Source organism: Homo sapiens, chromosome 9, assembly GCF_000001405.40.
Source record: "Homo sapiens chromosome 9, GRCh38.p14 Primary Assembly".
Classification (NCBI taxonomy): domain Eukaryota; kingdom Metazoa; phylum Chordata; class Mammalia; order Primates; family Hominidae; genus Homo; species Homo sapiens.
The window spans coordinates 60,908,021-60,929,312 of NC_000009.12; the positions used below are offsets into that span (position 1 = coordinate 60,908,021).

The 21,292-nt window shown below is 46.8% G+C and overlaps 1 protein-coding gene and 1 pseudogene across 2 annotated transcripts; one reads left to right on the forward strand and one right to left on the reverse strand.

The window, feature by feature from the left end:
- The first annotated feature begins 6,351 nt into the window (after positions 1-6,351).
- Positions 6,352-12,633, forward strand: SPATA31A5 (SPATA31 subfamily A member 5). 2 transcript variants are annotated; one of them, XM_047423839.1, is made up of 5 exons: positions 6,352-6,603; positions 7,766-7,860; positions 8,429-8,489; positions 8,745-9,347; positions 9,804-12,633. In XM_047423839.1, the coding sequence occupies exons 1-5, from the start codon at positions 6,374-6,376 to the stop codon at positions 12,478-12,480; spliced, it is 3,666 nt and encodes a 1,221-aa protein (XP_047279795.1). In that variant the 5' UTR covers positions 6,352-6,373; the 3' UTR covers positions 12,481-12,633. The 2 variants fall into 2 exon arrangements, with proteins under 2 accessions (XP_047279795.1, NP_001107013.1); NM_001113541.3 differs by having other exon boundaries at positions 6,387-6,604; positions 7,803-7,860; positions 8,745-12,633.
- On the reverse strand, positions 19,074-19,408 carry LOC100506103 (6-pyruvoyltetrahydropterin synthase pseudogene; annotated as a pseudogene).

The window sequence follows — 21,292 nt, forward strand, 5'->3', positions numbered from 1 at the left end:
CCAAAACAGCAAAATACACATTATTCTTGAGCATACACAGTACATTCTCCTACACAGGTCATATATTGGGCCAGAAAACAAGTCTTAGCAAATTTAAGAAGATTGAAATCTTATCAAGTATTCTTTTTGACCACAGTGGCATGAAACTGAAAATTAAAAACAGAAGAAAACTTAGAAAAGTGACAAATATGTGGAAATCAACCAACACACTCCTGAACAACCAATAGATCAAAGAAAACATCAAAAAAGAAATAAAATATCTTGAGACAAACTAAAATGAAAGCACAACATACTAAAACTTATGAGATGAAGCAAAAGCAATTCTAACAGGGAAGTTTATACAGGTTAAGTGCTAAATGAAGAAAAAAGATCTCAAATAAACAATAAACCTCAAAGAAATAGAAAAGAAAAAAAAAATGAAGCCCAAAATTAGAAGAAGGAAGGAAATAACAAAGATGATAGCAGAAGTAAATGAAATACACTAGAAAAACAATAGAAAAGATCAATGAAACAAAAAGCTGATTTTTTGAAAACATAGGCCGGGCGCGGTGGCTCACGCCTGTAATCCCAGCACTTTGGGAGGCCGAGGCGGGCGGATCACGAGGTCAGGAGATCGAGACCATCCCGGCTAAAACGGTGAAACCCCGTCTCTACTAAAAAATACAAAAAATTAGCCGGGCGTAGTGGCGGGCGCCTGTAGTCCCAGCTACTTGGGAGGCTGAGGCAGGAGAATGGCGTGAACCCGGGAGGCGGAGCTTGCAGTGAGCCGAGATCCCGCCACTGCACTCCAGCCTGGGCGACAGAGCGAGACTCCGTCTCAAAAAAAAAAAAAAAAAAAAAAACATAATGGCTGGGCGCGGTGGCTCATGCCTGTAATCCCAGCACTTTGGGAGGCGGGCAGATCACGAGGTCAGAGATCAAGACCATCCTGGCTAACATGGTGAAACCCCGCCTCTACTAAATATACAAAAAATTAGCAGAGCCGGGCAGCGTGCGCCTGTAGTCCCAGCTACTTGGGAGGCTGAGGCAGGGGAATGGCATGAACCCAGGAGGCAGAGCTTGCAGTGAGCGGAGATTGCGCCACTGCACTACAGCCTGGGAGACAGAGCCAGACTGAGTCTCAAAAAAATAAAATAAAATAAAATAAAAATAATAAAAATTGACCAACCTTTCACTAGGCTAAGAAAAAAGAGAGAAGCCTCAAATAAATAAAATTAGAACAAAAAAGCAGATATTAAAATTGGTACCATAGAAACACAAAGGATAATAACAGTCTAAACAACTATGTGTCAACAAATTGTTTAACTTAGAAGAAATAGAGAAATTTCTAGAAACATACATCCCCTAAGATTGAAACATGAAGAAATAGAAAATCAACACAAATAATGAGTAAAAATAATGAGTCAGTGGTCAAAAAGCTCCTGAAAAAGGAAAATCCAAGACCAGATAGCTTAGTGGAGAAGTCTAGCAAATGTTTAAAGAAGAATTAGTACCATTTCTTCACAAACTCTTCCAAAAGTTGAAGAGGAGGGAATACAAACATTTTTTATGAGGCCAGCATTACCCTGATAACAAAGACAGAAAAGGATACTACAAGGTTGACAGATATTTTTAAGGTGCAAATGATGTATTGTTGGAATTGAAAATACAGGATTTGTTTGTACAAAGATTTGTGTGTGGATAGGTGGATGCGTACTGGTGTGTGCATGCATACATATACAAGCTTACCTTGTTTTATTGCACTTCACTTTATTATGCTTCTCGGATATTGCATTTTTTACAGGTTGAAGGTTTATGGCAACCCTGCATCAAGCAAGTCTACCAGTGCCACTTTTCTGGTAGCATGTGCTTATTTTGTATCTCTGTGTTACATTTTTGTAATTCTTGCAATATTTCAAATGTTTTGTTATTATTATATCTGTTACGGTAATCTGTGATCAGTGATTATTAATATTACTATTGTCATTGTTTTGGGGCATCACAAACCATGCTCCAAAAGACAATGAGCCTAATTGATACATATGTGTGTCTGAATGGTTCCATTGATCTGCCCTTCCTCCATCCCCCCAACTCCTCAGGTCTCCCTGTTTTCTGAGACACAGGAATATTGAAATTAGGCCAATTAATAACTCTACAAAGGCCTCTATGTGTTCAAGTGAAAGTAAGAGTCACACATCTCTTATTTAAATCAAAAGTGAGAAATGATTAAGGTGAGTGAGGAAGGCATGTTAAAAGCTGAAACAGGCCAAAAACTAGGCATCCTGCACCTAACAGCCAAACTGTGCATGAAAAGAAAAAGTTCTTGAAGGAAATTAAAAGTATTACTCCAATGAACACATGAGTGGTATGAAAGTGAAAGAGACTTATCGCTGATATGGAGAAGGTTTGAGTGGTTTGGATAGAAGATCAAACCAACCACAACATTTCCTTAAGCCAAACCCTAATCGAGAGCAAGGACCTAATTCTTCTTAATTCTCTGAAGGCTGAGAGAGGTTGGGAAGCCACAGAAAAAAAGTTTGAAGCTAGCAGAGATTGGTTCATGAGGTTTAAGGAAAGAAGTCTTCTCCATAAGATAAAAGTGCAAGGAAAAGCAGCAAGTGCTGATGTAGAAGCTGCAGCAAGTCATCCATAAGATCAGCTAAGAGAAGCAACAAAGGTGGCTACACTAAACAAAGGTTTTTACTGCAGATAAAACAGCCTTATATTGGAAGAGGATGTCATCCAGGACTTTTACAGCCAGGTAGCAAAATAAATGCCTGACTTCAATGCTTCAAAGAACAGGATGACTCTTTTGTTAGGGGCTTAACCTGAAGCCAAAGCTCATCTACCATTCTGAAAATTCTAGGGCCCTTAAGAACTATGCTACATCTACTCTGCCTGTGCTCTATAAATGGGACAAAGCCTGAATGACATCACATCTGTTACGACATGAATATTTTAAGCTCACACCTGAGAACTACTGCTTTAAAAAAAGATCTCTTTCAAAATATTATTGTTCATTGACAATTTACCTGGTCACCCAAGAGCTCTGATGGAGAACTACAAGAAAATTAAAGCTGTTTGCATGCCTGCTAATACAACATCCATTCTGCAGCCCATGGATCAATGAGTAATTTAGACTTTCAAGGCTGATTATCTGAGAAATACATTTCATAAGGCTGTAGCCACCATGTATAGTAGTTCCTTCGATAGATCTGGGCAAAGTAAGTTGAAAACCTTCTAGAAAGGTTTCACCATTCTAGAAGCATTTGCAATTCATGGGAGGAGGTTAAAATTAAGAACATTTGTGATTCATGGGAGGAGGTCAAAATATCAACATTAAAAGAAATTTGGAAGAAGTTGATTCCAATCCTCATGGATGACTTTGAGGGTTCAAGACTTCAGTGCAAGAAGTAACTGCAGATGTGGTGGAAATAGCAAGAGAACTAAGATTAAAAGATGTGAAGAGAACTTAAGATGTGGCTGAATTGCTGAAATCTCATGACAAAATTTTAACAAATGAGAACTTGGATGAGCAAAGAAAGTGGTTTCTTGAGATGGAAACTACTCCAGGTGTAGATGCTGTGAATCTTGTTGAAATGACAACAGAGTATTTAGAAAATTGCATAAACTTAGTGGATAAAGCAGTGGTAGGGTTTGAGAGGATTGTCTCCGATTTGAAGGAAGCTCTACTGTGGGTAAAATGCTATCAAACAGCATTGCATGCTACAGAGGAATCTTGAAAGAAATAGTCAACTGATGTAGCAAACTTCATTGTTGTCTTATTTTAAGAAATTGCCACAGCCACCTCACCTCCAGCAGCTTCCACCATGATGAGTCAGCAGCCACAACACTGAGGCAAGGCCACTGACCAGCAAAAAGATCATGATGTTGAAGACTCAGGTGATCGATAGCATTTTTAAACAGTAAAATAATTTTTGACTAAGGTATGTACATTGACTTTTTTAGACATAATGGTATTGCCCACTTAATAGACTACAGTATAGTATAGACCTAACTTTTATATGCACTGAGAAACCAAAAATTCTGTGTGATTTGCCTTATTGCCATATTTGTTTTATTGCAGAACTGGCCACCAGAATTTTCCCTTCCCCTAGAACGCCCTTCACCCAAGCCACCTGCATTTTCCCCTCACCCATCATACCCACCCCCATTGTCTGGCCTGCCCTCCACCTCCTCCAAAAGCCTTCATTGCTCCCCCACTGCTGGACTGCATTCTGACTCCGTCTCAATGTGACTCAATGGCACTTCCATTGGGCACTGCCCTAAAGAGCTCATCTCCACAGTGGCCTGAAACCAAACCCACAGTATCTCTGAGGTATGCCTATGTAGCAGTCCCATAAGTTATCGTGCACTTTAAGCATTACCAAGTCCAGAACTGTGAATGCTATACATTTACAGAAATACCACTTGAAGGTTTAACTACTTATAACTGTTTCATAATTAGAATTACAAATTTTGAATATTAATTATTTTAATTGGGGGGAGGGGCCAAGTTGGTTGAGTAGAAACAGCTCTACTCTGCAGCCCCCACTGAGACAAACATAAACAGCGAGTGAATTCTGCATTTCTAACTGAGGTATCCAGATTCCCTCATTGGGACTGACTAGGCAGTTGGTGTGACCCATGGAGAGCAAGGAAAAGCAGAGTTGGGCGACAGTTCACCCAAGAGCTACACAGGGCAAAGAGACCTCCCTCCTCCAGCCAAGGGAGGCAGTGAGGGATTGTGCTACCCAACCGGGGAACTGTGCTTTACCCACAGATTTTTGCAAACCCCAGAACAGGTAATCCCTTTGTGAGTCCACACCACCAGGGCCTTAGGTCCCAAGCACAAAGCTGTGCAGACCCATAGCAGGGGCTCCAGCTGGCAGCCACTTGGGCAGTTACTGAGCTGTAGGAGTTTCTGCGTACTCTGGTGGCTTGCAGAAATCCAGTGAAGCAGGAGATCCATCAACTCCCATGAGAAGAGGGCTGAAGCCAGGGAGCCAAGCAGACCCACTCCCACAGAACCCCACAAGCTAAGACCCACTGGCATGGAATCCCCACTGGCTAGCACAGCACCTGGAGTCTGCCTAAGAAGACCAAGTTCCTGGGGGGAAGGGTGACTGCCATTACTGCGGGTCTAGCCGGTGGTTTTCCCCCACCAGTGCTAGGGAGACTGGGTGGTTTGCGCTGGGCAGAATTCCCACAGTGCAGTACAGAGGCTGTGGCAGATATACCATTATTGTATATCCAAAGGAATATAAATCATTCTATTACAAAGATACATGCACGTGTATGTTTATTGCAGCACTGTTCCCAATAGCAAAGACATGGAATCAACCCAATGCCCACCAATGATAGACTGGATAAATAAAATGTGGTACATATACACCATGGAATACTATGCAGCCATAAAAAGGAATGAGATCAAGTCCTTTGCGGGGACATGGATGAAGCTGGAAGCCATTATCCTCAGCAAACTAACACAGGAACAGAAAACCAAATACCACATGTTCTCACTTACAAGTGGGAGCCGAACAATGAGAACATATGGACACTGGGAGGGAAACAACACACCCTGGCACCTGTCGAGGGAGGGCCGGTGGTAGGGAGAGCATCAGGAAAAATAGCTAATGCATGCTGGGTTTAATACCTAAGTGATGGGTTGATAGGTGCAGCAAATCACCATGGTACATATTTGCCTATGTAAGAAAACTGCATGTCCTGCACATGTATCCCGAAAGTTAAAATAAAATAAATACATAAGTACATAAATAAAATTTTAAAAGACAAAAAAAAATCTTAATTGTATGTGGGTAGTTCCCTTTGATTGAAAGTGAGATAGAAATAATTTTTTAAAACTTACTATTCAAAATTTGCAAAACTAAATAAGAGTAAAAGAAATTTACATTTTGTCCCTGGATTGATACAAGACAAAAACATAGTGTGGAAAAGCTGGAGTTGAGGATGAACGAGATTCTGAGAATAAAAATCCCTGGTACATAGCCAAAATTTCAGAACTTCAGATTTTCAAGGGCTATAAAATAGGTAACCTCAAGCCACCGTCTCCAACAGATAAAAGGAACCAGGTAATATCTATATTCCAGGGAGAAAGAATAGAAAATTGGCTATCACTGACAAAACTTAGTGGGAAGGAGGGATCTAGAAGGTGGGATGGTGGAGGGATCCCCAGCTTGGGGGGTGGGGAGGGGCTGTGCCTCAGTCTCCCCCTCCCCTGCCCCTCTCCCTCCCTCTCCCCCTCCTGCTGCACCTCCCCCTCCCTCTGCGCCTCCCCCTCCCACTGCCCCTCCCCAACAAAGGAGCCCTTTGTGACATCAAGGCCCCACCTCTGTGACGCAGGCCTGGGCCCCAGTCCCTAGTCCCCACGGGGATGCCCAGAGCTCAGTTGCTTGAAAGCAACGCGCCTATTCACATGGAGAATCTTCCCTTTCCTTTAAAATTACTTAGTGCCTCATCGCTAAACGCCCCCAGTTCCACACCATGGGTGTTGGATATCTTCCTCACTTTGGTGTTTGCCCTGGGGTTCTTCTTCCTATTACTCCCCTACTTATCTTACTTCCGTTGTGATGACCCACCCTCACCATCGCCTGGGAAGAGAAAGGTAAGGAACCCTCAGTCCCAACCCACAGAGCTTGATTCTCTCCTTTCTTTTTATTATTAGTTCCACTTTTCCAAATCCAGTGGAGAGCCTTCTATGATGGGAAGTCTCAGAAGAGACCAGAACATCATCCTTCCAGGGAGAGGCAGGGCAGCCAGGGGTTGGTAGGGGTAGATAGTGTACTGGGATTTCCATCCCAAGCTCTCAGTCCATCTGTGGGGGAGCACAGGAGGCATCAAGGCAAAATCAAACCAGTGGACTCAGCACCAGTACCAGTCATGAGACTGGGGAGGTCTCTGTCCGAGACCAGGCCCTGAGCCCTGGCTCATCAGCCCCTTTCTGGTGCAGGTGGCTCAGGGCCCAGCCTCCCCTGTGTGGGGTGATCTGGGGCCTGTGCTGGGCCCCTGAGGGCCTCCCACCAGGGCCTGGTGTCTCCTCTGGTCTTCTGGGAAGCAGAATCCTACCTGATAGCTCAGCAGTGCCTGCGGGCCTGAACTTGGGTGTTCCTGGAGCAGAGGAACAGGGACTGAAGGTGTCCGTGGTGGACCTCATATTGAAAATCCCTCTGTGTGTGTGTGTGTGTGTGTGTGTGTGTGTGTGTGTATTTTTATTTTATTTGTGTGTGTTATTTTTATTTTATTTTATTTTATTTTATTTTATTTTATTTTATTTTATTTTTTGAGATGGAGTCTCGCTCTGTGGTGCAGGTTGCAGTGAAATGGAGTGATATCGGCTCACTGCAACCTCTGCTTCCTGAGTTCAAGCGATTCTCCTGTCTTAGAGTCCTGAATAGCTGGGGATTACAGGCGCCCACCACCATGCCTGCCTAATTTTTGTATTTTTAGTAGACACGGGGTTTCACCATGGCCAGGCTGGTCTCAAACTCCTGACCTCAGGTGATCAACCCACCTTGGCCTCCCAAAGTGCTTGGATTATAGGCGTGAGCTACCACGCCCAGCCCCCTCTTGCTGTTTTTCTAAGAAGAAAAGCAGTTTATCATCCATTTAAACAAGAGTGGGAGGAAGCACACAGAGCTCCCTGAGCAAGACAGAGAGAGCCATGCGGTTCCTGAGTGCAGCATGCTGCGGCTGGGCTGGGGCAGAGAGGGAGAGCCGGTCCTAGCTTCTCACCCTTTCTTGTCTCCCATTGTCATCTTGTCTCTCCGCGTCATCTTGTCTCCGTACGTCATCGTGTCTCCCAGTGTCCAGTAGGGCGGAGGCGGAGGCCCAGAGGCAGGATGAAAAACCACAGTCTGAGAGGTAAGGCTCTGCCAGAGCACACTAGGGTTAATTTGATCTCATCTGTCCCGAAGGGAACTGACTCTGAAGAAGTCAGTTGAAGAAGCCTGAGGTGGGGGCTCCTAGGAAGGAAATCAGAACCCCGGGTCCTTCTCAGATTCCATGCGGGAATGAAGCCATGGTGGGCCAGGGACTGGGCGTTACCCAGCAGGGGGCAGTGTGTGTGTCCTGGGGAGACCAATGCCTGCCTGGATGCGGAGGGGGGTGAGGGGGCCTCCCGCTCCCTGGGAACAGCTGTCCAACTCTGCTAAGGCTGATTCCTCTTTGAGACCACCTCAGTCCTTTCTCCCCACAGGGCAGTTGTGAGGACTGTGGGGGTGGGGGGTCCGTGTGTGGAAGCCCTTTGTGAATGAAAAAGCCCTGTCCTCCATGCCTTGCTATTAACGTCGGGGTCATGTGGCTTTGGACACAGATGGGTGGGGTCCAGGGTCTAATTCCCCATGGTCCTCCCTAAAGAAACAGCCACTCAGCCTCCTGTGAGAACCCAGGCCCCTCCCTCACTGCCCTAACCCAGTCTCCTGATTTCCAGCTGGTAGAGAGTGCCGGAGAGGCCTGGAGGAGACTTCGGACCTGCTTTCACAACTGCAGAGGTGAGGCACTTCCCCTTCCCTGCATCCTTCCTACCAGGGCTGGGACGTGACCCCAGGGCCACAGGCAGCCTGGAGCTGACCTGGGATGGGGAGACCAGGGGGACAGAGGATGGGAGTAAAACCCTGGGGCGAGGGGTAGCAGGAGAATTGGGCAATCAGGGTGTGGGGTGGTGGAGGGGCTGTGGCCCGAGCACCCACTCTGCCCTCCGGCCCCACCGGCTCCTGGCTGCAGCTCGTGCCTCCTGTCTCCTGCAGCCTCCTGGGGCCACACCTTGACAAAGGTGACTTTGGTCAGCTCTCCGGTCCAGACCCCCCAGGTGAGGTGGGCGAAAGAGCACCTGATGGAGCCTCCCAGTCCTCTCATGAGCCTATGGAAGATGCTGCTCCCATTCTCTCCCCGTTAGCTTCCCCGGATCCTCAAGCCAAGCATCCTCAGGATCTGGCCTCCACCCCATCACCAGGCCCAATGACCACCTCAGTCTCCTCCCTAAGTGCCTCCCAGCCACCAGAACCTTCCCTTCCCCTAGAACACCCCTCACCCGAGCCACCTGCACTTTTCCCTCACCCACCACACACCCCTGATCCTCTGGCCTGCTCTCTGCCTCCTCCAAAAGGCTTCACTGCTCCTCCCCTGCGGGACTCCACACTGATAACTCCATCTCACTGTGACTCAGTGGCATTTCCACTGGGCACCGTCCCTCAAAGCTTGTCTCCACATGAGGATTTGGTGGCTTCTGTCCCAGCCATCTCAGGCCTTGGTGGCTCAAACAGTCATGTTTCTGCCTCCTCCCGGTGGCAGGAGACTGCCAGAACCTCGTGCGCCTTTAACTCATCAGTCCAGCAAGATCATCTTTCCCGCCACCCACCAGAGACCTGTCAGATGGAAGCTGGTAGCCTGTTTTTGCTCAGCTCTGATGGCCAGAATGTCGTGGGGATACAAGTCACAGAAACAGCCAAGGTCAACATTTGGGAAGAAAAAGAAAATGTTGGATCATTTACAAATCGAATGACCCCAGAAAAGCACTTAAATTCTTTGCGGAATTTGGCTAAATCATTGGATGCTGAGCAGGACACCACAAACCCAAAACCCTTCTGGAACATGGGAGAGAACTCGAAACAGCTGCCCGGACCTCAGAAGCTCTCAGATCCTAGGCTCTGGCAGGAAAGTTTTTGGAAGAATTATAGCCAGCTTTTCTGGGGCCTCCCCTCTCTGCACAGCGAGTCCCTGGTGGCTAACGCCTGGGTAACTGACAGGTCTTATACTTTACAGTCTCCTCCTTTCTTGTTCAATGAAATGTCCAATGTCTGCCCAATTCAAAGGGAGACTACAATGTCCCCACTGCTTTTCCAGGCCCAGCCCCTGTCCCATCTGGGGCCCGAGTGCCAACCCTTTATTTCATCCACACCCCAATTCCGGCCCACACCTATGGCTCAGGCCGAGGCTCAGGCCCATCTTCAATCTTCTTTCCCAGTCCTATCTCCTGCTTTTCCATCCCTGATTCAGAACACTGGAGTAGCTTGCCCTGCATCGCAGAATAAAGTGCAAGCTCTCTCCCTACCTGAAACTCAGCACCCTGAATGGCCTTTGTTGAGGAGACAACTAGAAGGTAGGTTGGCTTTACCCTCTAGGGTCCAAAAATCTCAGGACGTCTTTAGTGTCTCCACTCCTAACCTTCCCCAGGAAAGTTTGACATCCATTCTGCCTGAGAACTTTCCAGTCAGTCCTGAACTCCGGAGACAACTGGAGCAACACATAAAAAAGTGGATCATCCAACACTGGGGCAACCTGGGAAGGATCCAAGAGTCTCTGGATCTGATGCAGCTTCGGGATGAATCACCAGGGACAAGTCAGGCCAAGGGCAAACCCAGTCCCTGGCAGTCCTCCATGTCCACAGGTGAAGGCAGCAAGGAGGCACAGAAGGTGAAGTTCCAGCTAGAGAGGGACCCGTGCCCACATCTGGGGCAAATTCTGGGTGAGACCCCACAAAATCTATCCAGGGATATGAAAAGCTTCCCACGGAAGGTTCTGGGGGTGACTTCTGAGGAGTTGGAAAGGAACTTGAGGAAGCCCTTGAGGAGTGACTCGGGAAGTGATTTATTAAGATGCACAGAGAGGACTCATATAGAAAACATCCTGAAAGCCCACATGGGCAGGAACTTGGGCCAGACCAACGAGGGCTTGATCCCCGTGTGTGTGCGTCGATCCTGGCTTGCTGTCAACCAGGCTCTTCCCGTGTCCAACACCCATGTGAAAACCAGCAATCTAGCAGCCCCGAAAAGTGGGAAAGCCTGTGTGAACACAGCCCAGGTGCTTTCCTTCCTCGAGCCGTGTACTCAGCAGGGGTTGGGAGCCCATATTGTGAGGTTTTGGGCCAAACACAGGTGGGGTCTACCCCTCAGGGTCCTCAAGCCCATTCAGTGCTTTAAACTGGAAAAGGTTTCATCCTTGTCCCTTACACAGCTTGCTGGTCCCTCCTCAGCCACCTGTGAATCTGGGGCTGGCTCAGAAGTTGAGGTGGACATGTTCCTTAGAAAGCCACCAATGGCAAGTCTGAGAAAGCAGGTGCTGACCAAAGCATCTGATCACATGCCAGAGAGTCTTCTGGCCTCCTCACCTGCATGGAAGCAGTTCCAGAGGGCACCGCGAGGAATCCCATCTTGGAATGATCATGAACCCTTGAAGCCTCCTCCAGCTGGACAGGAGGGCAGGTGGCCATCTAAGCCCCTCACGTACAGCCTCACAGGCAGCATCCAGCAGAGCAGGAGCTTAGGAGCCCAATCTTCAAAGGCTGGAGAGACAAGGGAGGCAGTGCCACAATGCAGAGTCCCCTTGGAAACCTGTATGCTGGCAAACCTCCAAGCCACAAGTGAGGATGTGCATGGTTTCGAGGCTCCAGGGACCAGCAAAAGCTCTCTACACCCTAGAGTGTCTGTCTCCCAAGATCCAAGAAAGCTGTGTCTTATGGAGGAGGTTGTTAATGAATTTGAGCCTGGAATGGCCACAAAGTCAGAGACCCAGCCTCAAGTTTGTGCCGCTGTTGTGCTCCTTCCAGATGGGCAAGCATCTGTTGTGCCCCACGCTTCAGAGAATTTGGTTTCTCAAGTGCCCCAGGGCCATCTCCAGAGCATGCCTACTGGGAACATGCGGGCTTCCCAGGAGCTACATGACCTCATGGCAGCCAGAAGGAGCAAACTGGTGCACGAGGAGCCCAGAAACCCAAACTGTCAAGGCTCATGCAAGAGCCAAAGGCCAATGTTTCCCCCTATTCACAAGAGTGAGAAGTCTAGGAAACCCAACTTAGAAAAACATGAAGAAAGGCTTGAAGGATTGAGGACTCCTCAACTTACCCCAGTCAGGAAAACAGAAGACACCCATCAGGATGAAGGCGTCCAGCTACTGCCATCAAAGAAACAGCCTCCTTCAGTAAGCCCCTTTGGAGAAAACATCAAGCAAATTTTTCAGTGGATTTTTTCAAAGAAAAAAAGCAAGCCAGCACCAGTCACTGCTGAGAGCCAAAAAACAGTAAAAAACAGATCACGTGTGTACAGCAGCAGTGCTGAAGCTCAGGGTCTCATGACGGCAGTTGGACAAATGCTGGACGAGAAAATGTCACTTTGCCATGCGCGCCATGCCTCGAAGGTAAATCAGCACAAACAGAAGTTTCAAGCCCCAGTCTGTGGGTTTCCCTGCAACCACAGGCACCTCTTCTACTCAGAACACGGCAGAATACTGAGCTATGCAGCCAGCAGTCAACAAGCCACTCTCAAGAGCCAGGGTTGTCCCAACAGAGACAGACAAATCAGAAATCAACAGCCCTTGAAAAGTGTGCGGTGCAACAATGAGCAATGGGGCCTGCGACATCCCCAAATCTTGCACCCCAAGAAAGCTGTATCCCCAGTCAGTCCCCCTCAGCACTGGCCGAAGACATCCGGTGCCTCTAGCCACCATCACCACTGTCCAAGGCACTGTCTTCTTTGGGAAGGTATCTGATTTGGTCAGTCACAAATTCTTTTTTAGCCTTCCCTGGAGAAAAACAAGTCCCCAAGAAAAAATTCACTCTATGTAGAGAAAAAATATTTTCTCTCATGTTAGTACATGCAGAACATTTAATATTCCACAATATATATGGTTTTTTATTCATAAGAGGGTGATGGCTTTTATTTGTGCCATGCTTGGTGTGGGCTTGGTTTCCAGAAGCGACAGGACATGGAGGGATGTTGACAGTGGTGCTGTAAGCCCACCTTCATCCTGAGTTCCTTCACTGAACCTTATGTTTCCGTAATACCGTCTTTACACAAACAACAAAAAATTCTAAAAACAAGATGAGAAAAACCTATGAAGGTCCCACTCTGAAATAAGGTTCAACCCATCTTTCCACTACTTACTCTACCTCAAACTTCATGCAGCTGTAGGGAGAAGGTTTGCAGAGATGTCACGGGACTGAACATCTCCATGCAGGCTCCAGGAAGTGCCACAGCCGAGTACCTTCATGTGTCACAAAATAGTGGAAGTTTGGGTGGGAGAGTGCTGGGCCCTGAGTTTAGAAGTGGGAGAAGTCTTGACCCTGGGTATCCTGGTGGAGAATAGATAACGTCTGCCCCTGGGAAGCCCCTTCTCTCCCTGACAAAGGCTGGGATGGAGATGGGCTCTCTTAGCTCAGCCAACATGCAAAGCAGAGAGTCCCCATCCCACTGCCTCTCCCTTTCTCGCACTCTGGAGTGGCAGTGGGGACAGACCTTCCAGCTCTGTGCATGTGTAGGTGGGGGCTAGGGGGTCAGGGGGGCAGCCTTCATGGAGGTTGCTGAGGGCCGTGAACTCCCCTGCCCCAGATGAGTGAATGACCCTGCTCCTGGGTCACCGGCCTTTGTCTATCTCACCTACATGTCTCTCAGCTTCAGTGAAGTAGTTCTGGGTGAATGGAGTAGGGTATGCCTGTGTGTGCAGAGGCTTCTGATGGTGGGACTCTGTAGAGCTACAGGGGATGCAGACAGAGAATTGAAAAGGAGGCAAAGTGGCGTGTGTGAGGGAGCCATCAGTGGTGCCGTGAGCCAGGAGACTCTGACATTCCAACCCCTTAGACAGGCCTAGAGGGGCCTAGTGTCTCATCCTGGCCACACCCCAGGGTCTGTCTCTGCTCCAGCTCCCAGATCACAGACCCCTAGAAAAACCACATTTACCCCCAACACGGAGGGCCATATTAGTGAGAAGGCAAAGTGAATAAGGAAGATGAATTTCTTAACATCTTCGATAAGCTTGCACATAATAATCTATTGAACTTTTTTTTTTTTTTGAGACAGAGTTTCACTGTTTTGCCCAGGCTGGAGGGAAGTAGTGCAATCTTGGCTCACTGCAAACTCCGGCCCCTGGGTTCAAGTGATTCTTCTGCCTCAGCCTCCCAAGTGGCTGAGATGATAGGCACCCACCACCATGCCCGACTAATTTTTATATTTTTAGTAGAGACGGGGTTTTGCTATGTTGGCCAGGCTGGCCTCGAACTCCTCGCCTCAGGTGATCTACCGGCCTCAGCCTCCCAAAGAGCTAGGATTACAGGCATGAGCCATGGTGCCTGGCCTACCTATTGAATTTTTTAAAGGATGTGTTGACAATAGGTGGAAAAGCAAGGACTAGAGAACCCCAGGCATGAGTCGAAGTCTGGTGACCTTTAATATACACGTAGCCCCAGGACTGCTCCCTGGGGAAAGGTGGCGACTTACAAGGGCCCAGCAGCTGAGCTGGGGTCACACAGCAAATCTCCCCTGGCTCCTGACATCCTTGCTTGTTCCAGAGACCAGCAAGGGAAGATGCAGGCAGGCAGGATTTGAACATACAAGGGAGCTGGAAGTGACCTGTCCAGAATGGGCAGGGTATGGGCAGGACAGGAGCCATCCCTGCTGTCTCCCTCTGCTTTCAGCACAGCTTTCCTCCTCTCTGGGCCCTGTCCATATGGGAAAGCAGGAGGTCTCCACAAATCATGGACAGGAGGAGCCAGGTCTCTAGAGGGAGTTTTCTCTGCCTTGTGCCACATACAGGCGTGCAAGAGGCCCACTTCCGGGGGCCTCATTTCAATGGTGGAGAGGCCAGTGCCAGGCAGTGCCACTGATCTAGATGACAATGGAAATGGCCCTGCCCCCAACATGTGGGACTGGCCGGCACTGGGGTGCAGGGGGCAGTGGGCACAGTCCCCAGCCTGTGGCTTCTCCTGGGGCCAGGTCCTCTCTGGGGCCCGGATAACTGAAGCAGCCTCCAAGGTGGGCCCAGCGGTGACAGCGGAGCCAGGATCAGCAGGAGGAGCTGGGACCTGGAGCAGAGAGCAGCCCCGGTCCTCCGGGAGCTCAGGAGAGTGTGGCACAGAGCTGGGACCCTGACCACTGAGGATGGGCCATGCCTGGCTGCTGCTGGGTTCCCTCAGGAAACCAAGACGCGAGTTCTGGGATGTGGAGGAGCTGGACGTGGAGCCCATGGCTCAGGCCAGGAGAAGCGCCACAGGCAACACTGAGAGACCAGCAAGAACACAGGAAACAACAACCCCTTAGCCCTTCTGCAGCTCAGTCTCCCATGACATGCAGCGAGGCCAGCAATGGAGAGACCCACGGAGACCTCCCACAGGAACCTCACAGAGATATCTCGTACAGAGTGAGCACACGGGGACCTCTCACTGCCACAGAGAGAGACACACTGCAGCCTCCACAGAGACCCCACGGAGCTCTCAGAGTCCTCATGGTGCCCCACAGAGACCTAGCACAGAGATTCCCAGAGTCCTCACCCAGAGAACCCCACAGAGGCCACGCTGAGAGACTTCACTCAGTCCCACAGAGACCTCCCGCAAATGTCAGAGACCTTCCATGGTTCTCACAGGGAGATCTCACACAGAGACCCCACAAAGACCTCAGAGACTTCACACAGAGTCATAAAACAGGGACCTCATGCAGAGACTCATGCAGCTCACTGCAACCTCCGGCCTCCAGCCCCAGAAATGGCACACGGCACCCCCCACTGCCTCACAGAGACCTCTCTCAGAGTCCTCCTCACACAGAGACCTTGCCTGGAGACCTCCCACTCTCCACAGAGACCTTGTATAGATTCCTCACACAGGCCTCAGGTTGCTCCACACTCATTGCCCAGAAACCTCTCACATAGAATTCCCTCAAACATTCCACACAGAGATTCTGTAGGGCTTTCACAGGGTCCTCACACAGGGTCCTCACACAGGGACTTCATATAGTCCATGGTCCCTCACACAGAGACCTAGCACGGAGATTTCACACAGGGACTTCCCACAGAGACCCCACAGAGACCTCTGGAAGATACCTCCCACACAGACCTTCTGCAAAGGCCTCATACAGAGGCCTCACAAGAGGCAATGGAGCCCTCTTGCTGCCCCATGGAGTCCTCCCACAGAGACCTCATGTGGCCTCACAGGCCTCGTACAGAAACTGACTCGGATTTCTTAGAGACTTTCCACACAGAACTCACGCAGAAACCTCAAACTGAGGCTCCACAGAGACCTCACTCAGAGTTCTCACCAGGAGCCTGGCACTGAGGCCTCCCATGCAGCGCTCACACAGCGTCCTCACCATAGGTGAGATGCCCCTCACAGATACTCCTCAGAGATCTGGCCCAGAGGCTTCACAGAGACCTCACATCCATCCATTCTTTAGGTGCCTGAGCAGCCACCTGTTGACACATCCTTCTCAGTGGATATAAAACCACTCAGCACAGTAGCAGCACAGCCGGGATATCAGTTGCACTCCCCAGGAACCCTGGGACACCCAGATACTGTCAGCATTGCAGTGAAGGCGGTTTTCTGCTTGGGGACATCCTCACACTTTTTTTTTTTTTTTTGTAATAGCGCTGCCTCTGAAAAGAATTATGGATTCCACAGGCAGACCTGCAAAATTCTTTCTTCCACAGGTTTCCATTAGCTTGAATTCTGACCCACAATTTAGAAAATTCATTTTTTTAAATTATTTTTTGAGATGGAGTCTTGCTCTGTCGCCCAGGCTGGAGTCCAGTGGGATAATCTTGGCTCACTGCAACCTCCGCCTCTGGAGTTCAAGAGATTCTCCTGCTTCAGCCTCCTGAGTAGCTGGGATTATAGGTGTGCACTACCATGCTCGGCTAATTTTTGTATTTTTAGTAGAGACAGGGTTTCACCATGTTGGCCAGCTGGACTCGAACTCCTGACCTCAGGTGATCCACCCGCCTCGGCCTCCCAAAGTGCTGAGATTATAGGCATGAGCCACTGTGCCCAACCAAAAATTTTTAAGTGAAGAAAATGTTACCAACCTTCAATGAAAGAAAATATCTTATTTGTTCAGTTTGTTATTATCCAGCCAAATTACATCAATGTCATATATTTTTTAAAGTTTGGGGGAGACAAGACTTGAATTTGAGATGCCTGACTTCTGTACTTTGAAAATATGATAAAAACCTCTAGAAAATGAACCCCAGAAATGAAACAAACCAGCAAAGAGGCATCTGGACTCACACTGGTCTCCCAGGGGACTGTGCAACTAGCACATAATTTCATACAGAACAGCTTGGATCACGTTTGCAGAGTTCATTTTATTTTTAGCAAGCTAATAATCATGCAAAGATTTTTCACAAATAGGTCAAATCTCTAGCAATATTCTTATTGTATCACTTGGAAAAATTATACTTCTTAATAATATTATTTTATTCCTTAAAATGCAGTAATGCCCTCAAATAGTAGTATGACACATGTTTGTCAGACATGACTTAGTCCTAATGTTCCACAAACATAGCTTAAGCAGATGGGCAATTTAAAAGGATTTATTTTTTAAACAGTTCTATGAAACACGCATTCTCTAAGATGGGCAGTAGGGATCCATTTTATATTCATTACAGGGCTAAAAAAGGAATGTTTTGAAATCTTACAAAACAAATTAATCTATGCTTGAGATATATACATAGCCTAATAAAATGTATTGAGGAAGGGACACGTTAACATTTGAGTGGAAGAAGGTATACATTTAATCAGCATTTGTACAATAAAAATGAATTATGAATGGCCTCACTAATTATATACGCAGCACTTTCCAAAGGGTGCACTCTGGTAAGACTACTTACTTCTCATTGCTCATAAGCAAACTGTTGTCCTTGCCTTGGTAAAATCTATTTTAACAATAGCTGTTAAAGCATATCACTAGATTATCCAACGGGATGACAGGGTCACAGTCTTTTCTCTAAGAGAGGCATAGCTGACATCAAGGCTCTTTTAGCCTATTTGTTTCAACAAGAAATCCCCTTTCTATATTCATCATAATTAAAAAATTTTAACTTAATTTTTCCACTTCCTTATAATGTCACTGCATCGTAAAATAATGGAATCGACATGGATCTTCAGATTATACATATACATATATATATAGTTTTGTTTTTGTTGTTTTTTTTTTTTTTTTTGAGACAGAGTCTTGCTCTGTCACCCAGGCTGGAGTGCAGTGGCGTGATCTTGGCTCACTGCAAGCTCAGCCTCCTGGGTTCACACCGTTCTCCTGCCTCAGCCTCCTGAATAGCTGGGACTACAGGCGCCAGCAACCAATGACTGGCTAATTTTTTTGTATTTTTTTTTTTAGTAGAGAGAGGGTTTCACTGTGTTAGCCCGGATGGTCTGGATCTCTTGACCACGTGATCCACCCTCCTCGGCCTCCCAAAGTGCTGGGATTACAGGCATGGGCCACCGCGCTTGGCCTATAGTTTTTTTCAACAGCGCAACTTAAATAAGTTTAGTTATCAGAACAAAATAGAGTCAATTAGAAAAAAAAATTCATACAGAAAAATATACTTTTCAAGTTGACTGTTTTAACAGAGTTAAAATAAGTGATTATACTTCAGTCATTTGATTTAAATTTGCTCAGAGTGGCCAGAAAATCTAGAAACATAGAAAATGTCCATACTAAATAGTTGATTGCTATGACACGTTGAATGTGCTGTTCCTCAATAGTAATTCATAGTTCAGTAATCTACGCAAAATTGCAATGAACAATGTGCATTAAAGCAACATTTCCATCAATCAGTGTATATTCATCTGCCATATATTGCCTCAGATGATTTGAGTGTCTAATTTCACAGAATAAATTTGAGCCTTTACCCCAGAAGAAATAATCAACGGGGCTCAATCTATTAAAAAGATATTGACAATATTTCCAGGCTCTATTAACATCTATATTTTATTTTTAATTAGATTCACCTAATTCAAAGCTTGTAAATATTTTTACCATTTATATGTGCCCAGATGAAATGGATATCAATAATTAGATAATGGAGAAAACAACAAACACAGATCTTCTTTGTTGTTAAAATATTTTACGTCAGAGCACTTTGCTAGAAATAAAGTAATTTTTAATCTCCAGGCAAAAGACTGTCTAAATGACATTCAGAATGTATTACAAATTTAGATTTAGAATAGATTTATGTTTAAAACAGGCCTCATACTGCTTTCAACAAATCGGGCACTACAGAACAGAATGTGGGGAGGGTGACAATGATGTGATGACTTCTTAACACTGAGCAAAGAAGCAAAAAACAAGTTGTCTTTCTACAATGTTGATCCCTAAGAGTGATTTCCCTTTATAGATTGCAATATAATTCCAGTTGCATTGTTATTATTTTACAAAGAACTCCCACAGAAAAAACTTTCTGGAGGTTTTCCCCTATATACACACCTACATTCTCTGCCATGCTCACACCGTTGGCAAAGTATGGTGCATCCAGCCACAGACCATCAAGGGGCTTGATAATTGCCTCCTCCATATACCTTCTGAGGTCGGTCAGGTTTATAACCATTCGTGTAACACAATTCATCCTTATAACTGGGCCTATGGCCTTGTGGCTTGTCACCTTTTCCAAGCAGGTGCTTGTCATCTTGGTTGCTCAGAGGTTTGCTGTGGCATCTTCCCTCACCTGAGGCCGGGCTGGCCTCCACCATGTTGCAACCAGAAGAGCCCACTTCCGTGGGGACAGAGCTTCCGTGCTCTCCACAGCCACGTCACGCTGCCGCTGTGCAAATGATGCCAACTGTAAATCCCAGAAAACTGCAAAATAATGCTGCGCCAGGCACAGTCGGTGAGGATTTAGAGGATGCTAACGTCTTTCCTAAGAAACGTGGGTGACATCGGCCAGGCACGGTGGCTCACGCCTGTAATCTCAGCACCTTGGGAGGTCGAGGCGGGCAGATCACGAGATCAGGGGATCGAGACCATCCTGGCTAACACGGTGAAACCCCCTCTCTACTAAAAATACAAAAAAATTAGCCGGACATGGTGGGGGCGCCTGTGGTCCCAGCTACTCGGGAGCCTGAGGCAGGAGAATGACGTGACCCCAGGAGGCGGAGCTGGCAGTGAGCCGAGATCGCGCCACTGCACTCCAGCCTGGGAGACAGAGCGAGACTGCGAGACTCTGTCTCAAAAAAAAAGAAGAAAAAGAAAGAAAGAAAGAAAAGTGGGTGACATCACTCTGGTTCTAATCATTTTCGTGCTTCAGCTGCCCCCACTGGATCAGTGTTTCTGGTGAAACGCAATCAGTTTTCGGAGGGCCTCACCCTCCTTCACTGTAATGATGTTTGCAGTTCTTTCTTTCTCCTCTATGCCGAAAATCCAGAATTACCACCCCCTGTTCCCCATGGTTCACAATCTCAAACACGTTTCTCCAGTGACCACTTCAATTCACACAGCCATCCCTCAGTTCAAATATTGCCTTTGAACATCATGAGCAAGACCACGGCTCTTTGTATTTCTGCCACAGTTTCACACCAGTTACAGATTATATACATTCTTCACGTCAATAAGTTTATTTTGTAGAGTGTGGTTTCTGGAGTCAGATGAACTCTCCACCTACTAGGTCTGTTACTTGGGCAAGTCATTTCTTGCCTAGATTTACCAATTTGTTAGAGTTATATTACTTTACTCCAAAAGATTTTATTCTGTGAATTACATTGCTTTTCTTATTTTTTAAAAATTGTAAATCTAGGGATTTAGGCTTGGTTGTTTTTTTAAATATCAGTACTTATCTAAACAAATATTTGAAAATTTTTCTTTTTTCTTTACGTATATTAGAAATCTGGCCAGGCACGGTGGCTCATGCCTGTAATCCCAGCACTTTGGGAGGCCAAGGTGGGCGGATCACCTGAGGTCAGCAGTTTGAGACCAGCCTGGCCAACATGGCAAAACCCCGTCTCTACTAAAAATACAAAAAAATTAGCCGGGCGTGATGGCAGGCACCTGTGATCCCAGCAACTTGGGAGGCTGAGGCAGGAGAATCACTTGAACTGAGGAGGCAGAGGTTGCAGTGAGCTGAGATTGTGCCACTGCACTCCCGCCTGGGCAACAGAGTGAGACCCCATCTCAAAAATAAAAAAAAAAGAAAGAAATCTGTTAACAGCCTTGCTATGAAGACATTTTTGTCTGTTTCTTTTACTTTGTGTACTTATTTAATATTAAAACCTGTATTATTGCTCAGCAAAGAGGAGAATAGTTTCCTTGAAGGAAAAAAAACATCCTTAAGAACTTACTAGTTTAAAGCTGAGCATCTTAGATTTGAAGGTTGCCTTACCTTTTTAAAGATTTTTTTTATGAGTTGATAGAAAGTCCTAAAATCTTAGGAACAGAAACAATTGAGAATTACAAGTCAAATCATTGAAATGGAGCCATCTGACAGTTTATGTGTTCTGCTGTGCCAGTAGTGAGTGGGAACAGTTTCTATGTGGGAATATAATCAGGGTCCTGACTACCCCTAAAGGAGCTCTTTCTTGTTTGGTGTGAAGCCAATACACCAAACCGAGAGT

Coding starts and splice junctions, on each gene's coding strand:
- SPATA31A5 (NM_001113541.3), top strand. CDS start 6,416: ATGGAGAATCTTCCCTTTCCTTTAAAATTACTTAGTGCCTCATCGCTA. Junction 6,605..7,802: donor CATCGCCTGGGAAGAGAAAG/GTAAGGAACCCT, acceptor CGTGTCTCCCAG/TGTCCAGTAGGGCGGAGGCG. Junction 8,490..8,744: donor CTGCTTTCACAACTGCAGAG/GTGAGGCACTTC, acceptor TGTCTCCTGCAG/CCTCCTGGGGCCACACCTTG.